General features: G+C 44.4%; 1 protein-coding gene across 18 annotated transcripts in view, besides 6 other annotated features; it reads left to right on the top strand.

The window, feature by feature from the left end:
- PTPN3 (protein tyrosine phosphatase non-receptor type 3) overlaps positions 1-27734 on the top strand; it is a 162727-nt gene that overhangs the window by 98498 nt on the left and 36495 nt on the right. For 10 of the 18 annotated variants that reach the window (XM_011518888.3, NM_002829.4, XM_006717199.4 and 7 more), the window contains 7 exons: positions 1689-1809; positions 2953-3040; positions 6762-6850; positions 11239-11302; positions 12801-12973; positions 17071-17205; positions 19323-19499. In XM_011518888.3, coding sequence (XP_011517190.1) covers positions 1689-1809; positions 2953-3040; positions 6762-6850; positions 11239-11302; positions 12801-12973; positions 17071-17205; positions 19323-19499 — 847 coding nt within the window. Of the gene's footprint in view, positions 1-1688; positions 1810-2952; positions 3041-6761; positions 6851-10950; positions 11303-12800; positions 12974-17070; positions 17206-18437; positions 18690-19322; positions 19500-22139; positions 22335-27734 lie in introns of those variants that run through there. The other 8 variants (NM_001145368.2, XM_047423635.1, XM_047423637.1 and 5 more) reach the window with 5 other exon arrangements.
- Positions 8685-9186: an enhancer, noted in NCBI's record as "H3K27ac hESC enhancer chr9:112193017-112193518 (GRCh37/hg19 assembly coordinates)". NCBI's record gives its function as "activates a minimal SCP1, AML or CMV promoter by ChIP-STARR-seq in primed H9 embryonic stem cells {active_cell/tissue: H9 hESC(primed)}" and the evidence as "EXISTENCE:reporter gene assay evidence [ECO:0000049][PMID:30033119]".
- Positions 21119-21178: an enhancer, noted in NCBI's record as "active region_28765". NCBI's record gives its function as "activates an Ori minimal core promoter by ATAC-STARR-seq in GM12878 lymphoblastoid cells {active_cell/tissue: GM12878}" and the evidence as "EXISTENCE:reporter gene assay evidence [ECO:0000049][PMID:35858748]".
- Positions 22700-22759: an enhancer, noted in NCBI's record as "active region_28764". NCBI's record gives its function as "activates an Ori minimal core promoter by ATAC-STARR-seq in GM12878 lymphoblastoid cells {active_cell/tissue: GM12878}" and the evidence as "EXISTENCE:reporter gene assay evidence [ECO:0000049][PMID:35858748]".
- Positions 23420-23649: an enhancer, noted in NCBI's record as "active region_28763". NCBI's record gives its function as "activates an Ori minimal core promoter by ATAC-STARR-seq in GM12878 lymphoblastoid cells {active_cell/tissue: GM12878}" and the evidence as "EXISTENCE:reporter gene assay evidence [ECO:0000049][PMID:35858748]".
- Positions 23690-23739: an enhancer, noted in NCBI's record as "active region_28762". NCBI's record gives its function as "activates an Ori minimal core promoter by ATAC-STARR-seq in GM12878 lymphoblastoid cells {active_cell/tissue: GM12878}" and the evidence as "EXISTENCE:reporter gene assay evidence [ECO:0000049][PMID:35858748]".
- Positions 23750-23909: an enhancer, noted in NCBI's record as "active region_28761". NCBI's record gives its function as "activates an Ori minimal core promoter by ATAC-STARR-seq in GM12878 lymphoblastoid cells {active_cell/tissue: GM12878}" and the evidence as "EXISTENCE:reporter gene assay evidence [ECO:0000049][PMID:35858748]".

Genomic DNA, 27734 nt, shown 5'->3' with positions numbered 1-27734 from the left:
TTTTTTTCTTTTTTGAGACAGAGTCTGGCTGTGTCACCCAGGCTGGAGTACAGTGGCTCAGTCTCGGTTCACTGCAACCTCTGCCTTCCAGGTTCAAGCGATTCTCATGCCTCAGCCTCCCAAGTAGCTGGGATTACAGGCATGCACCATCATACCTGGCTAATTTTTGTATTTATACTAGAGATGGGGTTTCACCATGTTGGCTAGGCTGGTCTCAAACCTCTGACCGCAGGTGATCCACCCGCCTTGGCCTCCCAAAGTGCTGGGATTACAGGCGTGAGCTACCATGCCCGGCTGCATTGCCCTTTCAACTTCATGGTGAAATTCACCCAAGCAGCTACCTGTCTCACCCACTTCCCTTCTGAGATTGGCCACAAAGTATCACCATATCTTTCCCATACTCTGCCCTTGTAACAGAGAAGGAGTTATTTGATTTGGAAATCTTTGGTGTTGAATTGAGAGTCCTCAGGAGGCTCCTGGCATTGCAGCGAGCTACAGGAAGAAATTCATTAAAATATTTGGAAAGATCAGGACTAATTTTTTTTTTAAAGATGAAGTAGAAGCTTTTTTTTGTTTTGTTTGTCAAGAAAATGGAATACGAGATCGGTTGCCCCATTAGAGGTAGAGATTATCTCCTCAATTCTGTTTTTAGACAAATGGGAAAACTTGTGGAGAAGGGAAATGGATGTCCTCAGGTCCCATAAGCCTGGTCCTTTGCTCTTCACCTGGTGCCATCCTTTTTCCCAGTTTCCTCAATGGTCCAGACACCCAAATGGTTTGAGTCCTTGAGGCAGCCATGGACACTTGTACAGGTTGAGCACTGCACAACTCTCAAGAATGCCCATCACATCATAGGCATCAACAATTCAATTCACATTGGCAGACAACAGTCAAGGGTCTCAAGGGAGCAGTACCATTTTGCCCAGGGGCTAGTCTGGAAGTCACCCTTCCTTTTCCCTCTGCACCTGCAGGTCCCTAATGTGATTCCCCTGATAGCCCCAGAATCTCTCTTCATATCTTCTGACTCCCCTTAGAATGTGTCTTTCTCCCTAGGAACTTTGCTGTTGCCTGAGCCCTGACCATTCAGCCCCACTCCCACCCACCTTTTGTCCCTGTGGCCTCTGAGCACATCCTGGTCCCCTTTCTTCCACACCTCCCTGAATCCCAGGGGATGGGTCAGGATGTGGAGAGTGGTCAGGTCGGCATGGCCTCCCTTCTGCCTACACCCAGTTTTTAGAGCAGATTGGTCCAGTGTTATGGTAACCTTGGGGTATGGCAGAGAAAGCCTGCACCGTGTGTGGCATATGGATTGTGGCATTTCCCCCAGTGGGTTCTCTTTATCCAGTGGCATGAGTGCAAACTGCTGTGCTGACCACAGTGTATGGAAGAGGTGTGGGATTAGAACAGGGCCTAGGTTCAAACACCGTCTCCTAATTTTCTCCCTCTGTGTCCTTGGGGAGAATGAGAATTTGATTGGATCATGTGTGATAGTATCTTAGCCTATAGTGAAGGCTCAGATAAGTGTGGAATCTGGAGCTAGTGAGAAGCTTCAGTTCATGTGGTGTAGAACTTACCAGAAGAGTATTTCTAATTAATGTTATTCTGATGATGCTGTAGATGCTTATAAATGCAAACCATATTAAAAAGGCAAAACTAATTATGATTTTCCCCTTCTTCTGTCTTGATAGCTCATTTTGGAGACTATAATTCTTCCATACATCATCCAGGCTATCTTTCCGATAGTCACTTTATACCCGATCAAAATGAGGACTTTTTAACAAAAGTCGAATCTCTGCATGAGCAGCACAGGTGAGGGGGGCTGGGGTGGCCTACTTTGGGGACTTGGGTTGGGTATTTTCAGACATCATATCCCTTTGTGTTTGATGCAGCCTCTTTCTTTTGTGCATGAATCCTCTTTCAAGATGTCGGGGGTTTTTGAACCTTTGAGCTGGTATGGTGGCAGATATATTTGGCATAACTAGCATTTCTGTAAAGTGTAAAATCCAGTAAGAGTTTAGGGTGATAGCTGCTGCGTCCTTTTCAGGATGTCATTGAAATCAGTAAATTCCTGAAGGAAATGCCCATTTTGAAATCTGATTGCCCCACCAATGGACTGTACCAAGGTAAACCTCTTAGCAGTTTACCACATTTAATAAAACAAGCTGTTCCTTCAGGTCTTGTTAAACAGACAGACAGATGGACGTACAGTGCTGACCAGTCTCCTGTGTTCAGTTCATGAAAAGTGCCCTATGTCCAAGTGGGGAGCATGAGTCTTCTGCAGTTGCCCCTGCGTATTTGTTGCGAGCCTCAGCTCCAACACATATGCCCAATTCTGGCTGCTCTTCCCCTTCCTTGTTTTACTTAAAGCTACAGCAGCAGCTGTGCAGTCCAGGTCAAATAAAGGCCACCCTGACCAAGAAGGCCAGCTCTCAAGGGGCTGCTCTCTTCTTGGGAAAGCCATAAAAACAAAGGCCAGGCAACCAAGTGTCCTTTCTAAGAAGGCATTGCCAAACCTCTCTCCCAGAATTACTCCCAGGGCAGAAGTCAATCTCCTAAAATAGTACGGGGCCAGTGGCGTTTGAAAGTTTGAGGCCACTGCCAAAAGAAGAGATAAAGGCAGAGAGACCTAAAGATTCCCTACTAATTAGCAACTTGGAATAATTAGGGCAGGGATTCTGAAAGGTAACAGTCTTCTCCGTCTGAATATTGTGAGCCCACTAAAGGGGAAGTATTATTTAATTTAAAAACAAGAGGGTCTAGAGGGAGTCACATTCAATGGATAAGAATAAAAACTTGCTTTAGTAGAATTTAGCATTAGATTGCTGAAGATTGATAACATAAGGCATTTAATAACCTTACAGAAATGGTATCAAATGTTCTAGATTTTTTAAAATTGGAGTTAATGCCCTCTCTTTATTGGATGAACTCTGCTTTTTGTCTTTTCTTCCGTAGTGGGCTAAAACAATCAGAAGCAGAATCCTGCTATATCAACATAGCGCGGACCCTCGACTTCTATGGAGTAGAACTGCACAGTGGTAGGGTATGTATTCTTGTTATGTCTTGGCTCAAACATTATGTTTTTATTTTAATCTCTGAGAGTTTGAAAAATTCTTTGATGAAACTATTTCTTTTTCATTATAACAGGACTTTTTAAAAGATATTTGGAAGGTTTATTAAGTAATGCTGAATTTTTTGTTGGTCATTTGTCCAATTGCTTTTTTTTAATGTTTGCTTTTGTACTTGAAGACTTTTCCCTTTTGAAGGGTTAGGGGACTAGAAACTAGTAATTTTTGTAAGACCATTTTATATTATGGTTTTAAAAGGCAAAAAATAGGTATAAATTCATTTTTCAGGTGACGGTTTAAGGAGCCAAGATTTCTACTACTTAATCTCAAGTGTTGCTCAAATTGGAGATAGTTACTCATATATGATAGTTTTTTTAAAAAGATTATGGTGATATAATTGTTAAAATCAATAAATATTTGAAATTAGTTGTGGCTACTTTAGTAGGATTTACTAACATCTGTCATCTGTCAAGCAATTTCTATGCACCAGTGGATTATTTCCTGCGGTAATACCATGAGTTCCATATGTTATCATTAACCCCATTTTACAGATGGAGAAACTGATACTCAGGGACATAACCGAGGTCACACAGCACACAAGTTGTAGCTTCAGCACATGACCCCTCACTGTCTAATTAGCATCTGACCTTTGATCAGTGGCATACGTTTTCTACCTGTGATTGGTCCACATCATATCCAAAAGGAAGCAAAAATTAATTGAGCACCTACTATATACTAGCCTTTATCCAGATGCTTTCATATGAGACCATAAGGTCTCACCTTGTGATCATAGAAACCTTGTGAAATCGACATTCTAGTTATTCCCGTTTTATAGATGAGAAAACCGAGGCTCATAGAGATTGAGTAAATGATCAGATTTTAAATCTATGTATTTTCATAGTTTATAGAAACACTTTCATTTATTTTTGTTTCACTTCGGTCCCTTGACAGTCCTGTGAGGTAGGCAAGTTGTGATATAGGAAATAAGGAAGGAAAATGGTGTTAGATCTTACAAAATATCAGCTTTGGGACTTGACCATTCATTTTTATTCCATTTGCAAATAATATTTTATCTTAGATAGAATGTTTCAGAGAACTTTAATTGTCGGTGAAGTAGGGCTTTATATCTGCCTGAGTTGAGCTGTGCTGTCCCACCCCAAGAACTGTCAGTGAAATGACCCTCAAGGGCTGTGAGGCCAGATGATATCTGCGTGGCAAAGACCCCCACAGTATCAGAGGGGGTTGGTCATACTAGGCTGTTCTACGTGAACTAAAAACCCCTAAATCTCCATAGCTTCATATCATAAGGTTTATCTTTCAGTAATTCAAAGCTTGCATTGAGTCTAGGAGTCTTCCAGGGCAGCCCTCCACCCCATCCATCGCAATAACTCAGCAGTCGAGGCTGCTTCCATGTCATGGCCATCTTTCCATGTGACCTCCATGTTTGTCACAAGGGAACAGGAAGCTGCAGGGTTACACACCAGCTCTTAAATGCTTCAGCCCAAAAGAGACATACATTCCTCCTGCTCAGAGCACAGTGGCCAGAACTAGTCACCGAGTTCTGCCCTCTGCAAGGGGAGCTGGGAAATGTGGGGTTGGGCCTGGGAATTGAATAGACAGTAACTTCCTATGCTGCAGGGGTTGAGGTGCATACTGAAAGACCACAGGATTAGGAGATTTGAGACCTGGTCTTTGGCCCACCCAAACCATTCATTTGTTTCCTTGTTCACTCAATTTTGATTTCCTTTGCTAATTTGCTCTGTCACACCTGCTTCATACTCCCTCTGTTGTGATCTCAAGTATCATATTTAAATGCAATTCTACCCTTCATCAAGCAAATTTGGTTTTGTTATAAGCATGTGATTTCTGTTGGGTACTGATAGTGAATACTGCCTGGACTTTCCACAGTATCAGCACTGTTTTGTTTGTCCCGTTTCTCTAACTCCATGTTCACATTGTGGTTCACAAAGGGTTTGTCCCACGGCAAAGGGGAATGGACGTTTCTTATGTCTTCCACGTGCCAAACTCTCTTCTAGAAGCTCCATATGCCAAGCCCCCTTCTAGGTTTTCATCTCTCATTTCAGCCAGATAAAAACGCTTCGAGGTGGGTTCTGTCATCTTTATTGTACAAGAAGAAAAATTGAGCCTCAGGAGCCCAACATTATATAGCTAGTAGGTGCCAGACTGAAGGTTCACACTCAGTTGTGACTGACTCAAACCATGCCCCCTCTTTATAATTACTAGTATCTGGGTCAAGCATAGTGGCTCACGCCTTTAACCCCAGCACTTTGGGAGGCCGAGGCAGGAGGATCCCTTAAGCCCAGGAGTTCAAGACCAGCCTAGGCAACATAGTGTGACCCCATCTCTACAAAAATATGAAAAATTAGCTGGGCGTGGTGGCACATGCCTGTAGTCCCAGCTACTTGGGAACTGAGGCTGTAGGATCACTTGAGCCCAGGAGGTTGAGGCTGCAGTGAGCCACGTGTGCACCACTGCACTCCAGCCTAGGCAACATAGTGTGACCCCATCTCTACAAAAATATGAAAAATTAGCTGGGCGTGGTGGCACATGCCTGTAGTCCCAGCTACTTGGGAACTGAGGCTGTAGGATCACTTGAGCCCAGGAGGTTGAGGCTGCAGTGAGCCACGTGTGCACCACTGCACTCCAGCCTGGGCATCAAAGCAAGACCCTGTCTCTCAGAGAAAAACCAAACACACAAAAACCAAGTATCTGATTGGGAAAACAAGAAGGTAAATGACTCAAGAGGAGGAACTATTTTATTTTTAAATTTTATTTGTACTCACCTTGTTCTCAAACTTGTAGCGGCTGTGTCTTCTGTATCCTCACTGTCCACAGCAATGCCCAGCACTTAGGCATGCATAAATGTTGGATACACTGGATTTAGAAGCAACGCTTTTTTTTTTTTTTTTTTTTTTTTTTTAAACAGAGTCTCCCTCTGCTGCCTAGGCTGGAGCATGGTGGCACAATCACGGCTCACTGCAGCCTCAAACAGCCTCAACTTCCCAGGCTTAAGCAGTCCTCCCACCTCAGCCTCCTGAGTGGCTGGGACTACAGGCGTATGCTACCACACCCACCTAATTTTTTGTATTGTTTTGTAGAGACAGAGTTTCGCCATGTTGCCCAGGTTGGCCTCAAACTCCTGGGCTCAAGGGATCCACCCTCCTTGGCCTCGTAAAGTGCTGGGATTATAGGCGTGAGCCACCTCACCCAGCCAACATTTATTTCTTAAGTAGATTTAGAGTCAGCAGTTCTACATGTATACATTTTCATCATCATTTCAAAATAGCTAAAGCCTTTACAGTAATGGAAATTGAGATTTGCAAAAAGCTTTGCAAAGGGGTGAGGCCTTTCTGATTTAGTGCTGATTGTTGAAAATTTAAAGCTTGAGTGTTCATGTAAATGATTCCGTGGAATGAGTGGGCTTATTTGGTAACTTTCTAGACCAGTGGCACCCACATGTTGCTTGACAGGCTGTGTTCACTTTAGAAGAATTTGGTACTCAGTACTTCGATCTTAAGTATCCGTTAAGTGGGGCTTTTTGCCTGTTTTCAGTAGCATTTTCCCATTTGGAGCCTATACATATGACTATTTATAACAGCGTGGGTGCTTTAAAGTCACCAGAGGGCATAAGCATGACTGTAACATGCTGTGGATCTGAGATCTTCCTTTTTACAGGATCTGCACAATTTAGACCTAATGATTGGAATTGCTTCCGCGGGTGTTGCTGTGTACCGAAAATACATTTGCACAAGTTTCTATCCTTGGTAAGTGCAAACAGTTCTCATTATTTTCTGAATCATGCTTTAAAAATATGCCTAACAAAAGTAATGTTACCTCCCATTCTAAATGTTTATTTCTAAAGAAAAGATAGAGAGTGCCTCCCGAGTTTTACTCTGACCTCTAAATTTGGTCCAGATTTGGTACTTAGGAAAATTTGAGTTTAGTTTTCATTAGCATTCCCTTCCCCCAACTCACCCTGTGGTTTGGGATACTCTGGAAACCTGGTGGATAAAATGGCACAGGCAGGCCTTGGCATTAAGGAATTTTTCCTGGGCAGTACATTGGTCAGAATTCAGAGAAGAGCTTTCTCTGGGCAGGAACCATCGTTTCATTTCTGTTCCTCGGTTATTAACTGAACCTTTACCAAGTGTCCAGCTCTGTTCTAAACTCTAAAGGGACCCAAAGACGTGTACAACTGAGTGCTTGCCCTCTGAGCTCACAGGCCTGGTGGGAAGAGACCTGTAGGCCAGCCTGTCCCGCATTACTCGTGAGTGGAACTGAATTTTGGAGAGAAGTTTGAGTTTAATGTGCCAGGCAACAGGGAGCTTTCTTAGGGGAAACACCACCAAAATAATACCATCTACATAATGGTAACGTGATGGTGCAAGGAATGGGGGTAGCACGCATTGCCAGGAAGGTACAGGAGAGTGAGTGCCATAGACGGCAGGAGATGCAGATGGAAAAGGACAAACGGGGAAAAAACACGGAGTTTTGGCAAAACAGTGGCAGCAAGGAAGGAAGTTAGGGAATGGGGATAAGAGAAGATTTGGTGCCAGGTATGTGCCACACAGAGTTTGACCTTTGACATCTAAATCTGCTCCCCAACTTGGGAGCATAGAATTTCATTACCTGAAACACAAAGATGTTCATCACAGCATTATTTATAACAGGAAAAAACCTGCAAGTAACTTAAGTAAAACTATGGAGTATTATATAATAATATATATAATATTAATGAGTTAGTAATATAATACTCTATTGTTATATAATATACCCTATATTATATAATAGAATAATATATATTACACATAAATATATAATTATATATAACAAAATTATCGTTATTAATAGCAGTAATTCTTATTGCATGCTTACTGTGTCCAAGTCCTATTACTGTGTATTTTCTTTGATTTATCTCCTTTAAACTCCAAATAGGCACTATATAGGTTATTATCCCCAGTTTCACGGAGGAGGAAACAGAGGTACAAAGAAGTTAAGTAAGAACCTGTCCAGAGTGACACAGCTAATAATCAGAGTAGTTGAAACTCACATCAGAGTCTAGCTCCAGAGCCTGGACTTTTGTTTCAACACTAAAAGTGGTATTTGTAGGAAAACGCTTAAGTAGCATACATACTTAATAGACGCTGTTCAGTTAAGTTTCAATATATCTATTTTCCAAAACCAAAAAATGTGACGACAGCCCTGTTCAATTTGACACTGAAATCAGTGTAACAGATAGCAGGATCTTCTCTCCATCTTTCATTCACCTCATCTCTTTTAGAAGCCCCTCAGAGGAAGCAAGAAACTCCAGCCTGCTTGGTGGGCTGGGGCGTGCCCAGGCAGCTCTCTGGCCCACTCAGGACTAAGATCAGGCTAAGCAGAGGGCACAATGGGCATACGGCTCATTTTTCTGCACCCAGCCCCTCCAGATGCCGGGGGCTTCCTCCAGGTGCCACAGGCCTAAAGCCCCTTGGGTCCAGCCTAACTGTGACCAAACCTCCTAAGGGCCCACAGACAAGGGCTGGACCCTCACATTGTGGAGAAGATGTGGGTCCCACAAGGTCACTGCAGGAGAGAGAAGTGGGAGACTTGGTCAGGAGAAGCAGGTTTGTGAACAGAAGCCTTTTTGGCAGAGCCTGCAGGGACTCTCCAACCCCCAGGCTCACCCACAGTCCTGCTGAAGCCTCCCTCACCCTTCAACATCAAGATGGCTCCTGTCGAGGCCTGGCCCCTGCCTCCAGTGTAAACCTCAGAGACCAGCGGGGAGACCAGCACCAGATGGTGACCCCAGGGTGACAAGGGAGGTGCATGGGCAAGTGCCCAGGAGGGGCAGGACATAAGAAGGGCCCTAAGCATGCAGGGTAAGGCACTCACCAGGATCTGAACACCAGCTGAGCTTTGGCCCAAGGAAAATTCTAGAGAAGTGGCAGGGTGTATAGGTCCAGAGACAAGAGAGAACCCAGCTAGTGAGTCAGGAGGAGTGGGACAGGCCAGGCTGGAGCTGGCCATGGGCATGAGGAGCAGCAGGAGAGGGGCCAGGTCATGGAGGGCTTCACGGGCCATAGGAGCCTATAGGCTCAGTTCTTAGTGCTCTTGTGAGACTCTAGGCATTCCTGCATGCAGTGCTCACAGTTACAGTGATTTACTTCCATGCATCATTCTTTATGTGGTTCCTGTCTCCCTCACTGGATTATAAGCCTCTGGATGGCAGTGGCTCCATGTCCTCTTCCCTCTGTCCCCAGGGCCTGGCATAGAACTTTGTACATCCTAGGCTCTCAGTGCATTTTTTTTTTCTTATAAATGAGTGAAGGGCAGTAGGGAGCCCCGCTGAGGCCCCAAGCCTGGAAACGACAAGAGTTCATGTCTGTGCATAATCAGATTTGACAGCTCAGGGAGAGAGCTGTCAGGTGGGGAAATTGGGGTCAGCCTGGGAAGGCGATGCTGAGCTGGAGCCCTAGGAACCACAGGAGGCCTGCCAGGCCCTCCTACCCCTGTATATGAAGCCAGGGGTGGGGGGAGTAAGAGGTCCACAGATACCCATGGGCCAAACAAGGCAAGGTAAGAACTCAAAAGGGGAGTTGATTCTCCTGACTCGTTCTGCAGAACAGGAATTTTTGCATCTGCCAGTTGGCACAGGAGAATCGTGAGGAGACTCCCCCGACTTCAGGGAGATGGCAGAGCAGTAACACACACTAGGAAGAGTATCTCCAGAAGGGGTGAGCCCAGACACTCTTCTCATCCTTAGACTATTAACCTGTAGTCACCCCAAAAAATTTACTTCACAGTTACATCTACCAACAGATCGTTGAAAATAGATGTGTATTAGGTAATATCTAATATGTAATAGAGGTATATTGCTGATCCATCTGGGGGATGTCCCATGAATAGTTCAAGTTTCGTTTTACCTACACAGCCTCTCCATTCTAGAATGTTCTACCAAGGTCTTTGTATGATCCTAGAGAATAGTAAAATTCCTTCATTTCCCCAAAGTATTTCAGAAGTAAAGATTCCAGCAGAGAAATATGCACCCTTTGTATGGATTACAGAAGTTTTGCATAAATGAATGATAGTCAGCCCTTGGTGTACTTGGGGGATTGGTTCCAAGACCACTTGTAGTTACCGAAATCTACACAGACTTGTCACACAGTTGGCTCCGCAAAACTCGTGTATTTGAAAAGCCAGCCCTTTGTATATGTGGGTTTCGCATCCTGCAAATACTGTTTTCCATCCATGTTTGGTTAAAAAGAATCCCCCAGATAGTGGACCCCACATAGTTCAAACCTTTGTTAATCAAGGGTCAACTGTAAATTTATTTTAAAAGTTATGTTTTTAATTAAAGGAACAAGCATTGCAGGCCTACTGTGTGACAAGGTAGGGACTTGACATTCCTACTCTGCTTGAATCCTCACAAGGCCGCTCTCTGAGAAGGGCAGTGTTTTCACCACTGTTGGGAAGACTTCATAGTGGAGAGCTTAGGAGCACAGGCTTCAGAGTCAGCTGAGACCGGGGTGCAGGTCCTGGCTCCAGGAATTTCTAGTTGAATGATCTTGAGCACTTTGGTGATGTCTCTGAGCCTCAGTTTCCTCATCTGAAAACTGGGTATAACAATATGTACTTTTCAGGATTGTTGCAGGGCTTCGTTGAGGGGATGTTTATAAAGCTCTTAGTAGCAGCCTAGTATCTAAAAAATGTTCAGTTAATGGTGACTAAATTCTGTTATCTTGCAAATGTTAAGTAGGCTACTTGACACGTGGCTGTTAAGTAATGGAGCTGGGGTTCGGACCAGGTCTGTCCTCTTTCAGCTGCTCCATGCTGCTCTCAGCTGTCTTCCCCATGTATATACCAGCTCACGCAGAGCTGCAGTGCCACAAAAGCAGCTTATAGCAAAGAGAGCGCATGGCCTATGTTTCTTGTTATTTAAAAGCTACATCATAATCCAGTGGCCCTTACGCAGTGCTCAGCTTCAGTCAGCTACTTGGTATTAGCCTGCGGCAGTGGGGCTGCCATCATTTCTACAGAGAAGTAAACTCTAGGCAGCCAAGAGCCCCCACTCATCAGGATCATGGAGTAAAGGACATGCATTGAGAGGCATCAGCTTCAACCTGGCCGATCCCTGATGTGCTTTGTTTGTGTTTTGTTTTATTTTTTGAAGGGTGAACATTCTCAAAATTTCTTTCAAAAGGAAAAAGTTCTTCATACATCAGCGACAGAAACAGGTGAGTAGTTATGTCTTTGCTTGCTTTGTTTCGTGCATATGTATGTGTGTGGTTAGAGACAGGGTCTCGCTATGTTGCCCAAACTGAGCTCAGGGGATCCTCCTGCCTCAGCCTCCCAAGTAGCTGGGACTAGAAACATGCACCACTTTGCCCCATTTCTTGTGTTTTTAAGTTACTTCAGCTTTTAGTTCTTTAAGGGTTGAAGGCTGTTTGCTATGTATGTATCAGGGAAGAAAGAGCATGCCATTGTGGAGCCAGAGTCTGGAGGATCCAGTGATTGTCTGTATAATTCTGCTTAGCTGGTTGGAGGATTAACTTGCTTTGGAGTCAGAGACAGTGGTTTCAGATCCTGGCTCTTCCACTTACCAGCTAGCCAGGTTACTTAACGTTCCCTAGCCCAAGTTACCTTGTTTCCAGAAATTCTATAATGCCCACTTCTTAGGGAATTGTGAAGATTAAATAAAAGAGGATTGGTCAAAGCACTTGGCAGAGAGCCCACCACAAAGTAACAGTGAATGTCAGCAAGGTCAGTTCCCTCCCATGATGTGTTGAAACTGCACGATGGCTTGGTAGGTGTATATATCTCATAAGCAAAGTCCATAGCACTGTGATAACTCCATTTGCTCATCCATACAGAGATGTAGAACTTAGAGGAGAGGAAACTGAGGCTCCCACAGCTAGTGAGTCAGGGGAGCTGGAATTTTAACCAGATCATTACGAATCCGAGACACCTGCTCTTTCCACAGCACTACACCCTTATCTTTTTATGCTGCATGATTTTCACTTACTGTCACTGTGTCAATTTCCCAATTTTTCAAAGGTAATATATGCTTAAAATGGCCTCACAGAGCCGTGAACTCTTAGGAATGAGGACACAAAAGCTCAGAGCAGCTAGGACTGGAATCTGGATCTCCTGACCCCTCAGTGCAAGATTCAGGGTGGCACAAAAATGTATAAGACGGCAATTTAACATGAAAACAGAAAACCTAAACTCATGCAGAATGCAGGCAAAGCAAATGATTAAAATGATTATTACATATGAGCACTGGATTCAACTCTGTGCTTTGTGGAAAGCAAATAGAGAAAAACCCAAAGGGTTATAAACTTGCTGTTGTCTGATAGATGAAAGAGTATTCCTTCAGGAGAGAGATGTTCCCAGAGTTAAAATTTAAAAGGAGTGTATCAGACGGTTTTTATCTGATTGCTCCAAATGTATCCAGCCTAGAAATGTAAATAGATTTGAAATAAAAGCATTCATGAAGAAGCGCAGATGATGATAAAGAATAGATTCTGGTCATCTCTATTACCATGTTCATAAAGACGGTTAACAAATCGTGCTCTTGAATATTCCGGTACACTGGTTTGTGGCCACGGCATTTTGAAACCAGTTTTCTGCTGTCTGTTGCATCTTACCTCATTTCACCAATGTGGGTTAAATGCTTACAAGTCCCTGCTCCTATGTCTGTGTGGGTGAAATCTTGACTGTTTTTCCTCCCAGGCTGAATCCAGGGAACATATTGTGGCCTTCAACATGCTGAATTACCGATCTTGCAAAAACTTGTGGAAATCCTGTGTTGAGCACCATACGTTCTTTCAGGCAAAGAAGCTACTACCTCAGGAAAAGAATGTTCTGTCTCAGTACTGGACTATGGGCTCTCGGAACACCAAAAAGTGAGTGTGCTGTAAAGACTGTGTCCACACTAGGCTGAGATGTAAATGCATCCTGGTCATCAGTGAATAGAGGACATTGTTAGGCAGAGGAGGAAACCCATAGCCCAGGGGCTCCAGGCATTGGATCTCTGAACCATAACTAAAAGTCTCCCGGGGTCAGCAGTGTCTAAGGGATATCTCATGTTCCCAGCATTTCTCTCCCCTCAACTCTGCTGAACTCAGCACTTCCAAGCAGTCAGAATGGCAGCTGTACCCTGCACCATGACATAATAAAGGAAATGGAGCCATGGTTCTGTGTGTCTCCTGGTGCCAGCATACTGGGCTATCCCAGTCTGATGCCACTATGCCAGCCTCTCCCACAGAACTTTAATTCCATAAGATGCTCTATAAAAATGAATGAAGGAATAGAAAAACATTTCCAGAGTCAAGTGACTTTGGGATATATTGCCTATAATAATTACAAAATAACAGTAGTAATCACAGTTGATAATTACTGAGCATTTACTTTGTGCTGGGCACATAATTATATTTGACTCTTACAACTCTCCTATGAGATAGGTACTATTAGCCACAGGAATGATATTCAAAATATTTAATGACTAGTACAGGAAAAGAAATGGATGTAAATTTATATATATTTATGTATAAATATATATAATATATAAATTTTTAAATTCTAATTTAGATTAAAATTTATTCTCTAAATAAAATGATGTACAGTAAAAGAAATGGATGTACATTGATATATATAATTCGTATATACATTTTAAAATTCTAATTAAGATAAATTTATTCTCTAAATGAAATAACCATGCAGTTTGTATTTTTGTTTTCTTTGTTCTAAGACTACCCTCTAAGTATAAGAGGTAGCATAAATTGTCAATTTATTCTTATAATTTCTTTTTTCTTTCTTTCTTTTCTTTTTTTTTTTTTTTTGAGATGGAGTCTTACTCTGTCACCCAGCCTGGAGTGTAGTGGTGCCATCTTGGCTCACTGCAACCTCCGCCTCCCAGGTTCAATCGATTCTCTTGCCTCAGCCTCCCGAGTAGCTAGGATTACAGGAGCACACCACCACGCCTGGCTAATTTTTGTATTTTTAGTAGAGACAGGGTTTCACCATGGTTGGCCAGCCTGGTCTCGAATTCCTGACCTCAGGTGATCCACCCACCTTGGCCTCCCAAAGTTCTGGGATTACAGGCATGAGCCACCGTGCCCAGCCTATTCTCTCTTTTTTGTTTTGTTTTGTTTTGAGACGAAGTCTCACTCTGTCGCCCAGGCTAGAGTGATCTCGGCTCACTGCAACCTCTGTCTCCTGGGTTCAAGTAATTCTCCTACCTCAGCCTCCCAAGTAGCTGGGATTACAGGTGCCCACCACCACGCCCAGCTGATTTTTGCATTTTTAGTAGAGACAGGGTTTCACCACATTGGGCAGGCTGCTCTCGAACTCCTGACCTCAGGTGATCTGCCTGCCTCGGCCTCCCAAAGTGTTGGGGTTACAGGCATGAGCCACCGTGCCAGGCCATATTTTCTAAATCATTTGTTGGTTTTTCAAAATTGTTTTCGTGATTTGTTGTTGATGTGGCTATTACTAACTAAATGAGACCCGTGTCTGAGCCATTATCTTTCTGATAGGTGGAACTGCATCAGACTGTTCCAGTTACTTTCCTAATACATTGATAATCATTAGGGAACTTGTAAACTGAATAAGTAGCTAATTTCTGTTAGTATCAGTGATACTATTTGTGGTGCTAAATGCTATCTCTCAGCTTCTGATGAACCAAGAGTGAATATATTAAGTTTTTAGCTCTTATAATACTGTTTAGTATTTGTATACATTCAGTAGATCTACTGTTGAGCAAGCCATGAAAATAACTTACTGGATTATATCATTGACTTAGGTTGGGCCTGATCCTCAGGCCAGATGAGAGAAGGAATGGGGAGGCAACTGAAACCATGCCCTCTGTTGCTGAGCTGCCTGGGTTCAAATCCTGCCTCTGTCACTTGAGCTTTAATTTGTTGCTTCTATTTCTTCATCTGCAAAGCTTTGTCATCTGCATGCATCCAATGCCAGCAGGGCTGGGTTCTGGTCTTGTATTGTGGCACAAGAAAATACCCCTATTTTGGTGACTGAAAGCAACACCCATTCTGTTATATCTCATGACTTTGTGAGTCAGGAATCCTAGAAGGGCTTGGCCAGAGGCCTCTTCTGCTCTGTGTGGTGTAGATAGGGATTTCTCAGTGAATGTGGCCAGAGGATCCAAGATAACTTCTCTTGCATACCTGGTGTCTTGATGGAATGGTTGGAAGGCTGGACTCACCTGGACTCCTTAGCATCCCCATCTGGATACTCCAGGAGGGTGGTTGAATTTCTTACATGGACACTCAGGGTTCCAGGAGCGAAAGGCAGAACCGTTCAGCCTTCTTAAGGGTGAGACCTGGCACTGGCACAGCGACTCTGTTGCTGAAAGCAGTCACAAGCCAACCCAGATGCAAGACTCAAAGAACTTGCAGTCATCTTTAATCTGCCACAGGGGATCATTTGGGTTGGGAGGATGGCTTGGGAGGACAAGTCAGCAGTTCTTTTACTACCTGTGCCAGCTTCAGCATACTGGTGAATTTCAAGTCTCATTACCTCCATTTTACAGATGAGGACACTGAGGCTTAGAAGGGTCACATGACTTGCCCAGCCCCTAGAGATACAGATACACATCTGCTTATTGGGCCTTCTGAAAGGTTCCACATAAAAAGAAATTTGTTGGGTTATTTTCCAAGCTTATGGGACAATGGAACACTTTTTTTTCAGAGAGTCCCTATTAATAACCCATGACACATTAAACCTTGGAGTTGGGCAGTTTGCTCCCCTTGTTTTGATCCTGTGCTCTTCATCACTGGCAGTGTGGTTTCTGATGTAGGCCTGCCTCAGAGGAAAGAGTCTCCCAGTGATGCTGTTGTGAGCATTTTGATCAGGGTGACAACAGCATTTCTTAATGTGAATTAGTACATGATGTGCTACAGGGCGATTCATATTGTTTATGTTCTTTTGTTTGTTCTTTGTTCTGTTTTGTTTTTGTTGGTTGGTTGATGTCATGTCACAAGGAAATGTGTAGAATGTTTTCATAAGACATTAAATCCTAGTTTAAAATTTAGAGATGCCAGAACCAAAGTTGTCACCCTTTAACAGGGTGACAGGCTTCATGCTCTATTCTCTCAAATAATTCATTCTCTGAGGGGTCTAGATAGCTAAGATTTAAATTCTCTAGGTATAAATAAAATTCAAAAGTAACCTTCAGGGTAGCACATTTCAAAGAACGTAGCCTGAAACTCTGTATAATTTTTTGTTTTTGGAGACAGAGTCTTACTGTGTTCCCCAGACTGGAGTGCAGTGGTGCGATCTTGGCTCGCTGCAACCTCTGTCTCGGGGATTCAGGGGGTTCTCATGCCTCAGCCTCCCAAGTAGCTGGAATTATAGGCATGCGCCACTATACCTGGCTAATTTTTTGTATTTTTAGTAGAGGTAGGGTTTTGCCATGTTGGCCAGGCTGGTCTTGAACTCCTGACCTCAAGTGATCCACCCGCCTCAGCCTCCCAAAATGCTGGGATTGCAGGCATGAGCCACTGTGCCCAGTTTGAAACTACTTTCTAAGCGCATTTTCAGATTCTCTCTCAAAGATTTACCAGTGATTTATAGTGACAGCTCCTGCCAGCTAGGATGATGAAGAGCACCTGAAAAAATGGTTAATATTTTTACTTAGGCCAGTGTGAATAAAATAAGAATTCCTTGAAATCACTGGAGCTGTATTTCTGTGTGATCCTGGAATTCCTTCTAATCTGGTTAGGTTTGGTTATATTCTGGAAACAGCTTTGTTGCTTGAGTAGTGAGGACAAGAAAGGATTTTCACCCGAAGAGAAGAAATCACATAAGGAAATTCCAGGACAGACAGGAATCGCTTTTGAGCTGTCTCCCTCTACTCCCCATAACCTTGGCATTAACCTGCCGTCCTTCAGACAAGAAGCATGTGTAGACTGTTTCACACATGCAGTAATTTCTTTCCTGTTGAACGTCAGTGTAGAAAGTGAACCTGCATCTGGTTTTTCAGGTCGGTAAATAACCAATATTGCAAAAAGGTGATTGGCGGGATGGTGTGGAACCCAGCCATGCGGAGATCCTTATCAGTGGAGCACTTAGAAACCAAGAGTCTGCCTTCTCGTTCCCCTCCCATTACTCCCAACTGGTATGTCCTCCTTTTTTTTTTTTTTGTACTACCCAACAGTAGACACTTTATCTCTTTTAAAAATAAAAACTCAACTTATAAACTCCTAAAGATAGATGACCTACAATTTGCATTTTAGGCTCTTGGCAGAAGTAACTGTTTTCATGAAGTACACAAGTCTAGCTAAATGTTTTCCATCGTGTATAATGCTGAGATGCTCTTTTTAAAAAAACTTATTCAATCTAAATAGTTTGGGAAACTCGAGCCTGCTGAAAGGCCTCCTTTGGAATCACAGCACACATTAGCATATTAAACACTCTGAGACGTCCAATAATAAAAAAGTACGGTTAGCTTTACTTAATTCATGTTTTCCATTAATATCCCACAAAATAAACTTTAGGGAAAACTAACGCAGGTACGTGATGTAAATGATGTAAGGATGTATGACCTTCAGCAGCAGAAGCAAATGCACATCAGTAAGTAGCAGGCCAACTTAAGAGGATGGACTCAGCTTAAAAAGAAATAGGTGGTCGTTTGGTAAAGTGAGAAGGGCACTGGGTTTGTAGCAGAAAGACCTAAACTCAGGTTTTGGCCCTTCTGTTAATTAACAAGTTTCTTTACCTCTGTAGCCTCAGTTTCCCCATATCTAAAAAGATGATAAAAACTACCGCAAATGAAATAATAATGTACAAGTACGTAGTAAGCTTTTAAAAGAGTCAGGTGGAATTATCATTATCTTATTATAATGGTCCTCAAAGACATCACACCATTTTTGTGAATACCTCCAAAAAGGCTAGGGGCCAGAGGGGAAACCTAGCAGGGAATCATTGCCCCCAGCTCCACACTGGAGTAAGAGTGCGTGGCTGTAAATACCTGATCCAGGATCTGCTAAGCCTAAGAGAAACTGGGAGACAGGCAGACAGAGGAGATGCTGTGCTGGGCCTGCTAGGGAAGGACCCCTTCACTGGGGGCCTAATGCTCTGGGAAGGGACAGTGATAGTATTTAGTGTTAGAAATCATGACGTAACTGAATAGATTTGCTTCTTGGTTTCCAACATTTAGATACCTCATTCTAAAGAGGTAAATTTATGCTATAACACAGCAGCTTAATTTATCTGAAAATCTCATCGGCAGCAATGCCAGGGGCCCAGAGAGCCCAGGACTGGATCCAGGGGAACAGCGGGGTTGGATGTTGCCACACTCGTGGCCCGGAGCTCCTGTGGCTATTTATAGGTCCTCTCCTGAGGAGTCACAAGAGCCTTTTTACTTCTGCTTTGGACACAGCATTATTGATTATCCAGGCCCAGGGGGATTGCAAATCATGGAGGCCCTGACAGTCCTGAGGAGAAATGGCTAACAAAGAAAGGGAAGATGGAAAAACTGTGAGGGAAAATAGAACTTAGAAAGCTTGGCAGCTTGGGATCCCCCGCTGCAGGAGCTGACGCCCAGGTGCCACACTGGATGCCCTGAGAACACGGCCTCATTGGATTCATTCTCAGGAGCAGGTAAGTACAGCCGAGGCCCAGAGAGGTGACGTGCCTTGCCCAAGGTCACATGCCTACTGCCACTGTTGGAGGACAGTCCAGTGTTTATATGCCCATCTAATGCATATAAACGTGTTTAATAAGGGATATATCTTAAAAAGCAAACATTTTCTCTTGGATCAAGTGAAATTCACATGAAGGGATGTCGTTGAAATAAGGTTGGAGTTTTGCTGAGAAATGTAGTTTGGCTTCTAACCCTTTTGTTTGCATTGTTCAAATTAATCAGAAAAATTATCTGAATAGCAGTCCATATGGCCTATTTATGTTTTGAGAGCTTGAGTCCTCCTGGAAGAATAACTTACCCTTAAGTCAATACCCGTCACTTCCCAAAGGGCATAAACCCATCTAATTCTGCCTGTTTATACAGCTGAGGCTACTGTTTTGGGAGCCACCACTTGACTGAGAGTGTTAGGGATTTGTGTCACCCTTGGTGCCTTCTGCTGGGGTAGTAATGAGTTAACCGGCTCTGAATGTCAGCCTCCGCCAAGGAAGGCATCCTTAGAAAGGTCAGGACACGAGGTTCACTGGTGTCTAATAAAATTTTTAAGTGGAATTTGCTTTGAACACTTTGCACTCAACGTTTTTCCCACCCAGGCGAAGTCCTCGGCTCCGGCACGAAATCCGAAAGCCACGCCACTCTTCTGCAGATAACCTTGCAAATGAAATGACCTACATCACGGAAACGGAAGATGTATTTTACACGTACAAGGGCTCTCTGGCCCCTCAAGACAGCGATTCTGAAGTTTCTCAGAACCGAAGCCCGCACCAAGAGTAAGAAACTCGTGTTGTTTTATTTCTGGGTATTTGCTTTTTGGCTGTTGCGGAATTTGCTCAGGTCCAGGTTGCCATTTGAGAGGAACCAAGAGCTGGTGCCTGCAGCCAGCTCCCACAGGTGCCTTCTGCCAGGATAAGAACATAAATCAGACTCTACCTTTTCACCCGGAAGACGGTCTATGTGCCTGGGGTCTAGAGCTTGTACTTCTTTTTGTCCACGACAAAGACTTCCTAGTCACTAAGTACTTGTTAGTCTCTTGAATTAGTCTCCTCTCCAGCTCACAAGCAAAGCCCAGTTTAATCATTCCCTGTTCTGGAGGTACAGACTCTAGGGCCATGCTAACTCTGATTTCTCTAGATTATTAAAGTTTTACCATCACATGATTTCAAATCATTGGAAATATGCTTGCTTCTAAAAGCCTTCTCCGAACAACAGGGTTCTGAGGGGTTTTGTTTTCAATTAATAGTTAGTATAAAGAAACAAACGTTAGAACATCTCTAATTTTCTTTGAGAAATTTTTTGTTAAATTTTTATGTCCTACCTCCCCCACCCCGCTTTTTTAACGTGACAGAGTTCCCTCATAGCTCAAGGACAGAAAAAATGTCTGTCCTGAAAGATGGTTGAGTGCTTTTGTTATTCAATAGGATATATTTAACCCATTTGTTTCCCTTTTTGCCTTGGTTACCAGGGAGTTCAGAACTGCACATTAGGCTCAATTGTATTCACTTCCCTCAGCCCAGATTTCTTGTATAGGACCTTCTCTTCCTCATTTGCCTTTGTTATATGGGTCTTTTTTTTCTTATTTTAATGGATTCATAGTTACATATCTGTACGTTTTGGGGTAAACTCGCAAATCATTTTTTTAAGTAGGTAAGACATAGATTATAAATTAGGTTAAAGCATGATAGTAAAGGATCAACTGTTAGGAAATCAACCATAGTCATTGGGTATCTATTCTGTTAAGCCCCATACTATTTCTAAAATATAGTAAGATAATGGCCCCCCTAACAGCTGAGGATTAGCAAGCAGGCACGTTAGTTAATCTGTAAATTTTTTACCACTGTAGCTATTAGGCTGAAAGCATCAAATGCACCCTGATTGGACTCCAGGCATTTGCAGGTGAATTGCAAATCTCCTTCCCATTTGTATGTGAGGCTGCTACCTCTCCTCTGTCCTTGCCCACAGCAAACATGGTTTCCAGTTTATCTGTGTTCTTAACACCTCTGGTTAAATAATCCCTGTGGTCATTCTTTCCTTGTGACCTGAGCTTGGATGATGCTTTTGCTAAATGATTGCTATCTCTTGTTCCAACTTGCAGCCTGCTGCCCCTTTGTCAGGGCTACAGTGGATGATTGTGAGTTCCTTTGTGTGACTTTGTAGCTTTTCAAACCACAAGCACATCTAGAAATACAAAGCAGGAGTGCAGGCATGCGTGACTAGAGCCGTTTTGAGTCTGCAGTGGGGGCTCTGCGGCTTTGGCAAAAGGAGAAAACGGTTTAGGGAAGCGTTGGAGGGCTCTGGGAAGCCCACTCACACCTGCTGCGTCAGAGCTTCCTGTGGTGGTTTGCAGTCCCATCACAGAATTGTACAGCATCTAAACCTTCCCTGTCCAGTACAGCAGCCACCAGCCCCAGTTGTCTATTCAGATTTAAATTAATTAAAATAATAAAAATGTAGGCATTCAGTTCCTCAGTCACATGAGCCTCATTTGAATTGCTTGACAGCCACACAGGAGTGTTGGCCTCCATCTTGGACAGCACAGATACAGCCCATTCCCATCACTGCAGAAAGTGTTGTCAGCAGCACTCATCTAGACTAACACGTTTATTCCATCGTTCATTTAAAGGGTGAACCCCTAGAATATCTACAAGCGAAAAGTGCATTTTTCACACAGAATTCATGTGGGAGTAGGTTTGGAATCATCACCTTGCTTGCAGTCTGGGCGCTCCACACCACTCACCCAGCTGCTCATCTGTGGCATGGGGCAGGTGGATAGCCTCTGAGTGCCCTCACAGCCCAGCACCCTCTGTCTCTTTATGCAATCAGTGCCAGGTGGGGAGGGATGCATTCTGTCCAATGACATGCAGGCACTTTAGAGGGCTTGCATTCATTCCCAAGTCCAGCGGCACACTTTATACATCCTTGGCTGGTCATTGAGGGGAACACCGGAGCAAATCAGAGAAGTTGTTTCAGGAGCCTCCAGGCCAGCTGGGCAAATAGCACATTATCAGCCTACGCTGCCACACTCCAGGGCTCTGTCACTTTGGTGAAAGGAAAAGGGGGGCTTAGGGAACAGTACGTGCCCTACATCAGATTTTCCTCCTGTGGTCTGCAGTCCCATCACAGAGCATCTAGACCTTCATAGTCCAATACAGCAGCCACCAGCTCCATAGGACTATTTACATTCCAGTTCATTAAAATTAAATAAGATTTAAAATTCACTCCTTCAAGCACTGTTTGATGTAAGTGATTTCTGGCCCTGCTTGTTCCTATACATTGCACAATGAGTCTTCTTGAAACCCCTCCTTGAGACCTTGTAAAGTGTGTCATCTTGGGGCTCTTTTTATCTTGCAGCTAAATGTTAAGAATAGCAAATAACAGTGGTTCAAAGGCAGGCTTCCTTGTGGGGTTTTACCAGGTGCACTGACAATAGACATGTCAGGGGGTCAAGTTAGTGACTGTGCTCTGCAAGTGGGATGAACAGCCAGAAAAGCAGCCCCCACCACCTCTGTTAGGTGGGAGACCTCTTCCTGCCGGTGGGAAGCCACTTTGTGCTGGGTCTTCAGAGGAGGCTGGCCCTCCTGAGGGTCTGGGAACCCCCATTGCTCCAGGTAAGAAGTACAGACTGGTCTGTACCTGGTGAGAGAAAAAAAGAAAAAAAAAAAAACCTGTTGGTTAGTTTCTGTGAGTATTTGCAAAATGTTTACAAAATATTTGACATGTTTTATACAGCAGATTTGTGTTAAGAGGCAAAAAGAAGCATTCTGTCAGAGAAATCGGATGAATAATATCACAGACAGTGAGGAGGGTTCCTTTTAAGAAGAAGAATTAAGTGCGATGTTCTGTACTCGTTTAAAAAAGAAGAAAGAGAGAAAGAAAAAGAGCGGTTAGATTTGGCTGTAAACCCAGAGTGGCGCAGCTCAGGCTGCCTGAGTGCCATCTTAGCGGATGAGTCACTTGCTGGTTTGTTCCGTATTTATAGCAGCACAGCAAAGTTTATGATTATAGTTATGAATCCTTGGCAGTTTGCTTTGTGCCCAAGTAGGCTGCACTCTTTTGTTGCTCCCAAGGTTCTATCAGCCATTGTGTGTTCCTTTCCCTGCTTCCGAATGAAGACCAAATTCTGCAGAGAAGTAAGTTTCTTTCATGGCAGAAATGAAAAAGCTACCACTCTCCACCCAGATAAAAGGGAGAGAATGTTCCCTAAAGAAAGAGACATGCAGAACAGAAACTGGGGGAAACACATTGTAGAGCAGTTTAGAGTTGTATTAGAAAAACTTTCTGGTTGCTATTTTATCACAGTTGTCTTGATGGGTCACCAGCATGACACCCTCCGAGTGGATGGGGCTTCATGCCTGCATAACTTCTTCGCTGTTTGCCTCTTTCCTTAGAGCCTGCCTTCTTCCATGGGATTTGGGGCAGCCATTGTTTTTTATTTCAAAAATTCTGTGCTGGCCAGCCATAGTGGCTCATACCTATAATCCCAGTACTTTGGGAGGCCATGCTGGTCAGATTGCTTGATCCCAGGAGTTCAAAACCAGCCTGGGCAACATGGCAAAACCCCATTTCTACAAAAAAATGCAAAAATTAGGCGGGCACGATGTTGTCTGCGTGTTGTCCTGGCTGCTCGGGAGGTTGAGATGAGAGAATCACTTGAGCCCAGGAGGTCGAGGCTGCAGTGAGCTGTGGTCGCACCCCTGCACTCCAGGCTGGGCATTGGAGTGAGACCCTGTCAAAAAAAAAAAAAAGAAACAAAAAAACAAAAAACAAAAAACTTCTGTTCATTGGAAGGAACCTGGGGGATCCCCTTCTTCAGCTTTGGCGGCAGTGTAGGAATTCCCCCAGCCCTGAGAGCCCTGCGAGCAATGGAGAGTCCCCTACAGTGCAGCTGTGTGCTCTGTCGTTAGACAGCCCAGGTGCCCACTGTTCTTCCCAAGCTGTGCTGGAAGCCTCCTTGACGCTGACCCAGCATCAAGGTTCCTGCCTTGAACTCTCAGGACAACACAGATGGTGTCTGTTCCCAGTTCCACCTGCCAGCCTTGGTTACTGTTCCTTAAGATAGACAATTCCAATGTAGTCACTTTCCACCCATCACCCTCGTAACCACCATTCTCCAAGTGCAAATGAGCCTTCTAGAGGGTGGCACTAGATCTGAATGTGGAGGAAGGATCTGCATACCATTCTACATGTCCCCCTCGGAGGACACCAGGCAGGGACAGGGTTTTGTTCAGAGTGTTTGTGTCCCTTTTCCTTGAACCTTGCCTTCTTGTTTGAGTCCACTTGCGTGTAGATGTCTCTCAGATACCTGAAACCCAATATGATCCAATCTCAGCTCCTCATGTTGGTGTCCAGCCCATGGCTGTTCCTGTGTCTTGGTAAGGGGGGCCATTGTTTCAGTACTTCCCAGTTTGCACCTATTTGAAACATCAGTCGTCCCTCACTCCTCCTTTTCTTTCACTGTCCCTATGCCATTTCTCATCGTGTTGATTCTACCTCCCAGACATCTCTTACATTTGACTCCTCCACCATCCCCACTGCACTGCCCCCATGCAGCCACCATCGTCTCTTGCACAGTCTAGCTCAGTCATATCCAAATCGTTCCCCTGTCTTTGGTGTCACCTCCTTCCACACCATGCTTCACAAGAATAGCAAATTTATCATTCTGAAATACACATCCAAGAATGTCACTTCCTGCTTAAATACCTTTTCTCTGCTTTTTCAGCATTTCCTGCCTTTACCTGTGCTACTGCTTTTGTTTGTGTGTTTGTTATTATCAGTGTTTTGCCAGAATGCCTTTTTTCCCACTTGACTACCTGTTCAAACTCCTATTAATTCATCTTTCAAACTCAAGCTCAAGTGCACCTGCTCCAGGAAGCCTCTCCTGGCCTTACACAGTACCCTAGACATCTGAGCATCTCCACTGTAACATGATAATATTATTACTTGGTTAATTGTATTTCTTCTCCTTTGGACAGTGAATTCTTTGAGGGCAGGGATAGTGCCCTATTCACCTCTCCTTCCTTAAAACCTGACATGGTTATTTGGCATTTAATAGACATTCAGTGACTATTTGGATGGATGGATGGATGGATGGATGGATGGATGGATGGATGGATGGATGGTTGGATGGACGGACGGATGGACGGATGGACGGACGGACGGACGGACAGACGGACAAATGGTTAGATGAAACTAGATGGGGCCCCGAGATACAAACTCCTAAGTTTTCACAATGGGATGCCCCCTCTGCCACTTCCACATCATGTGTCCATATCACATGAGCAACATCACACCATATTTATCTGTACCCCAAGAACTCAAACATATTTACTTTGACAAGTTTGGTAACTGTCACCTGTGAGCAGGACTATGTGGTAGGTGCCCCTGCAGGGCATCTGTCAATGAGAAATTCTCCTCAGAGAATTCAGGGATGAATTGACCGAGGTTTAGCAAGTGCTTTCTTGCCAGTGAGGTGTCTGATATCTATAGGGGAAGCCTAGACAGATTCATGATCTGTTGTTCCAGCAGGAAAGACTGTGAGCTCATAAAGCACCATACCTGAACCATATCCCCTCTGCCACTTTGATCTTGTGCCCTTGGCATTTATTACAGCCCCAGATGAGCTGTTTCCTGTGGTGACTGTCTCCACATCATAAAAATGTGTATTGGAAGACAGTCTTCTTTCTGTTACTCAAGGACCCTTATGTGAGGAGCCATGTGGGAAATTTCTCCAGGAATTTTATTCAGAAGAAACTGTGCCCTCTGGGTGAACTGGTATGAGTTCCTCTAGCGCCGTGCTATTCCAGCTGTGGCCACAGGCCAGCAGCTGCAGCACCTGAGAGCTGGTCGGAATGCAGAATCTCAGACCCACACAGGCCTGCCGAATCATACTCTGCATTCAGCAGGACCCCAGCTGGTTCCTGTGCACAGCACATTCTCAGAAGCTCTGATCTTGCAGATGAGAACCATTTAACTCGCCTTCACTTTGCACCTGAGCTTCCAGATTCCTGAGTAAATTCCTTGCTCTTTTAGAGTAACTCACCCAATCACCTCGGGTGATCCTCTTGGTACCTTGCCAAGAGGCTTTATTCTTCATTCACTCAGCATTTCAGTTGAGTACTCCCTGTGTGCCTGGTCCTGTGTTCCGAGTACTAGGAGAGGAACAGAAAGAGCACTAGGGTCTCCTGACCTTGAGAAGCTCCCAAAACAGGGCCCCTGTTCCATCACACCACAATTTGAGAGCAGGACTTTGCCTCCTTTCACAGGCGGCGGGGCGGGGAGGTCTTTAATTTTCTAGGGTTTAGGGAGAGCTTCGTGCGGGAGTGTCTCTTTCATGGGAGTGTTTCTTTCTGATGCCTGCTGCCTTTACAGTTCAGAAGCATGTGTTTTCTGGAGGGTGAATACTTGTTTGTCTGCCTGATGGTCAGTCTGTGTCTCACATTTCTCTGTCTCTGCCCCTTTCTCCCTAAGAACCAGGATGTGGTCAGTCCCACACTGGCTCTTCCATGGTGTCTTCCCCGTCCTGCCTCAGGGACAAACCTCTTCTGCTCCTTCCTCCCCCTTGTCATTGGCTCCATCCCATCCTCACCATCTTCTTGCATCCCTCATCCTGCCCCTTTCTTCACTCCACTTGTGGAATTCATGGGGCAACTCCCCTGCGCTCCTCAGCCGCACTGCATTCTGCCCAGCGACAGAGGAGGCACTAGGGCTTTGGTGCCTTCACCCCTGGCCACCCTGTGCTGTGGCCAGCTGCCACTTACTCATTGCATCTCCTCATTTGATGTCCTCTTCCTCGTCTGTCTGTCCATCTTGCACACTGAACAGAATATCACCGCGCCCTACAGAGCACCTGTGTACACAGTTGAGCAGGCCAAAAATCAGCCATTTGTTGAAATAAATGACTAAGAGTAACCCCTCCAACCCTGCTTAGAAAATAGGTTAGGGCAGGCCGGGCACGGTGGCTCATGCCTGTAATCCCAGCACTTTGGGAGGCCGAGGCGGGCAGATCACAAGGTCAAGAGATCGAGACCATCCTGACTAACATGGTGAAACCCCATCTCTACTAAAAATACAAAAAAAAAAAAAATTAGCCAGGCATTGGTGGCAGGTGCTTGTAGTCCCAGCTACATGGGAGACTGAGGCAGGAGAATGGTGTGAACCTGGCAGGTGGAGCTTGAGCTTGCAATGAGCTGAGACTGTGCCACTGCACTCCAGCCTGGGCGACAGGGCAAGACTCTGTCTCAAAAAAAAAAAAAAATAGGTTAGGGCATAAAATGACTTGGAATATAGTATTAGTACTAGCAGCAATAGTAATAGTAGTAGTACTGTTGTCATTTAGTACCATGGGCTAGTTTAGACAGACCATTGAGTTTTAAATCAAAAAAGAAAAATAGGGCTGGGGATGGTGGCTCACACCTGTAATCCCAGCGCTTAGGGAGGCCAGTGCAGGAGGATTGCTTGAGACCATGAGTTCTAGACCAGCCTAGGCAGCATAGTGAGACCCTGTGTCTACAAAAAATTTTTAAAAGGCTGGGCATGGTGGCTCACACCTGTAATCCCAGCACTTTGGGAGGCCGAGGCAGGTGGATCACGAGGTCAAGAGATCGAGACTATCTTGGCCAACATGGTGAAACCCTGTCTCTACTAAAAATATAAAAAATTAGCCGGGTGTGGTGGCGGGCACCTGTAGTCCCAGTTACTCAGGAGGCTGAGGTTGGAGAATCATTTGAACCCGGGAGGCGGAGGTTGCAGTGAGCCGAGATTGCACCACTGCATTCCAGCCTAGCAACAGAGCGAGACTTTGACTCAAAAAAAAAAAAAAATTAAAATTAGTTGGACATGGCGAATGCCTGTGGTCCCAGCTACTCAAGAGACCAAGATAGGAAGATCTCTTGAGTCAGGAAATCGAGGCTGCAGTGAGCTGTGGTCATGTAATGGCACTCCAGCCTGGGCAACAGAGCTTTACCCTACCTCAAAAGAAAAAAAAATGGATTGGGGGGGTGCAGGGAGGG

Source organism: Homo sapiens, chromosome 9, assembly GCF_000001405.40.
Source record: "Homo sapiens chromosome 9, GRCh38.p14 Primary Assembly".
In the NCBI taxonomy this organism is placed as follows: domain Eukaryota; kingdom Metazoa; phylum Chordata; class Mammalia; order Primates; family Hominidae; genus Homo; species Homo sapiens.
The sequence above is the reverse complement of the archived record's forward strand: the minus strand, read 5'-3'. Positions and strand labels throughout refer to the sequence as shown.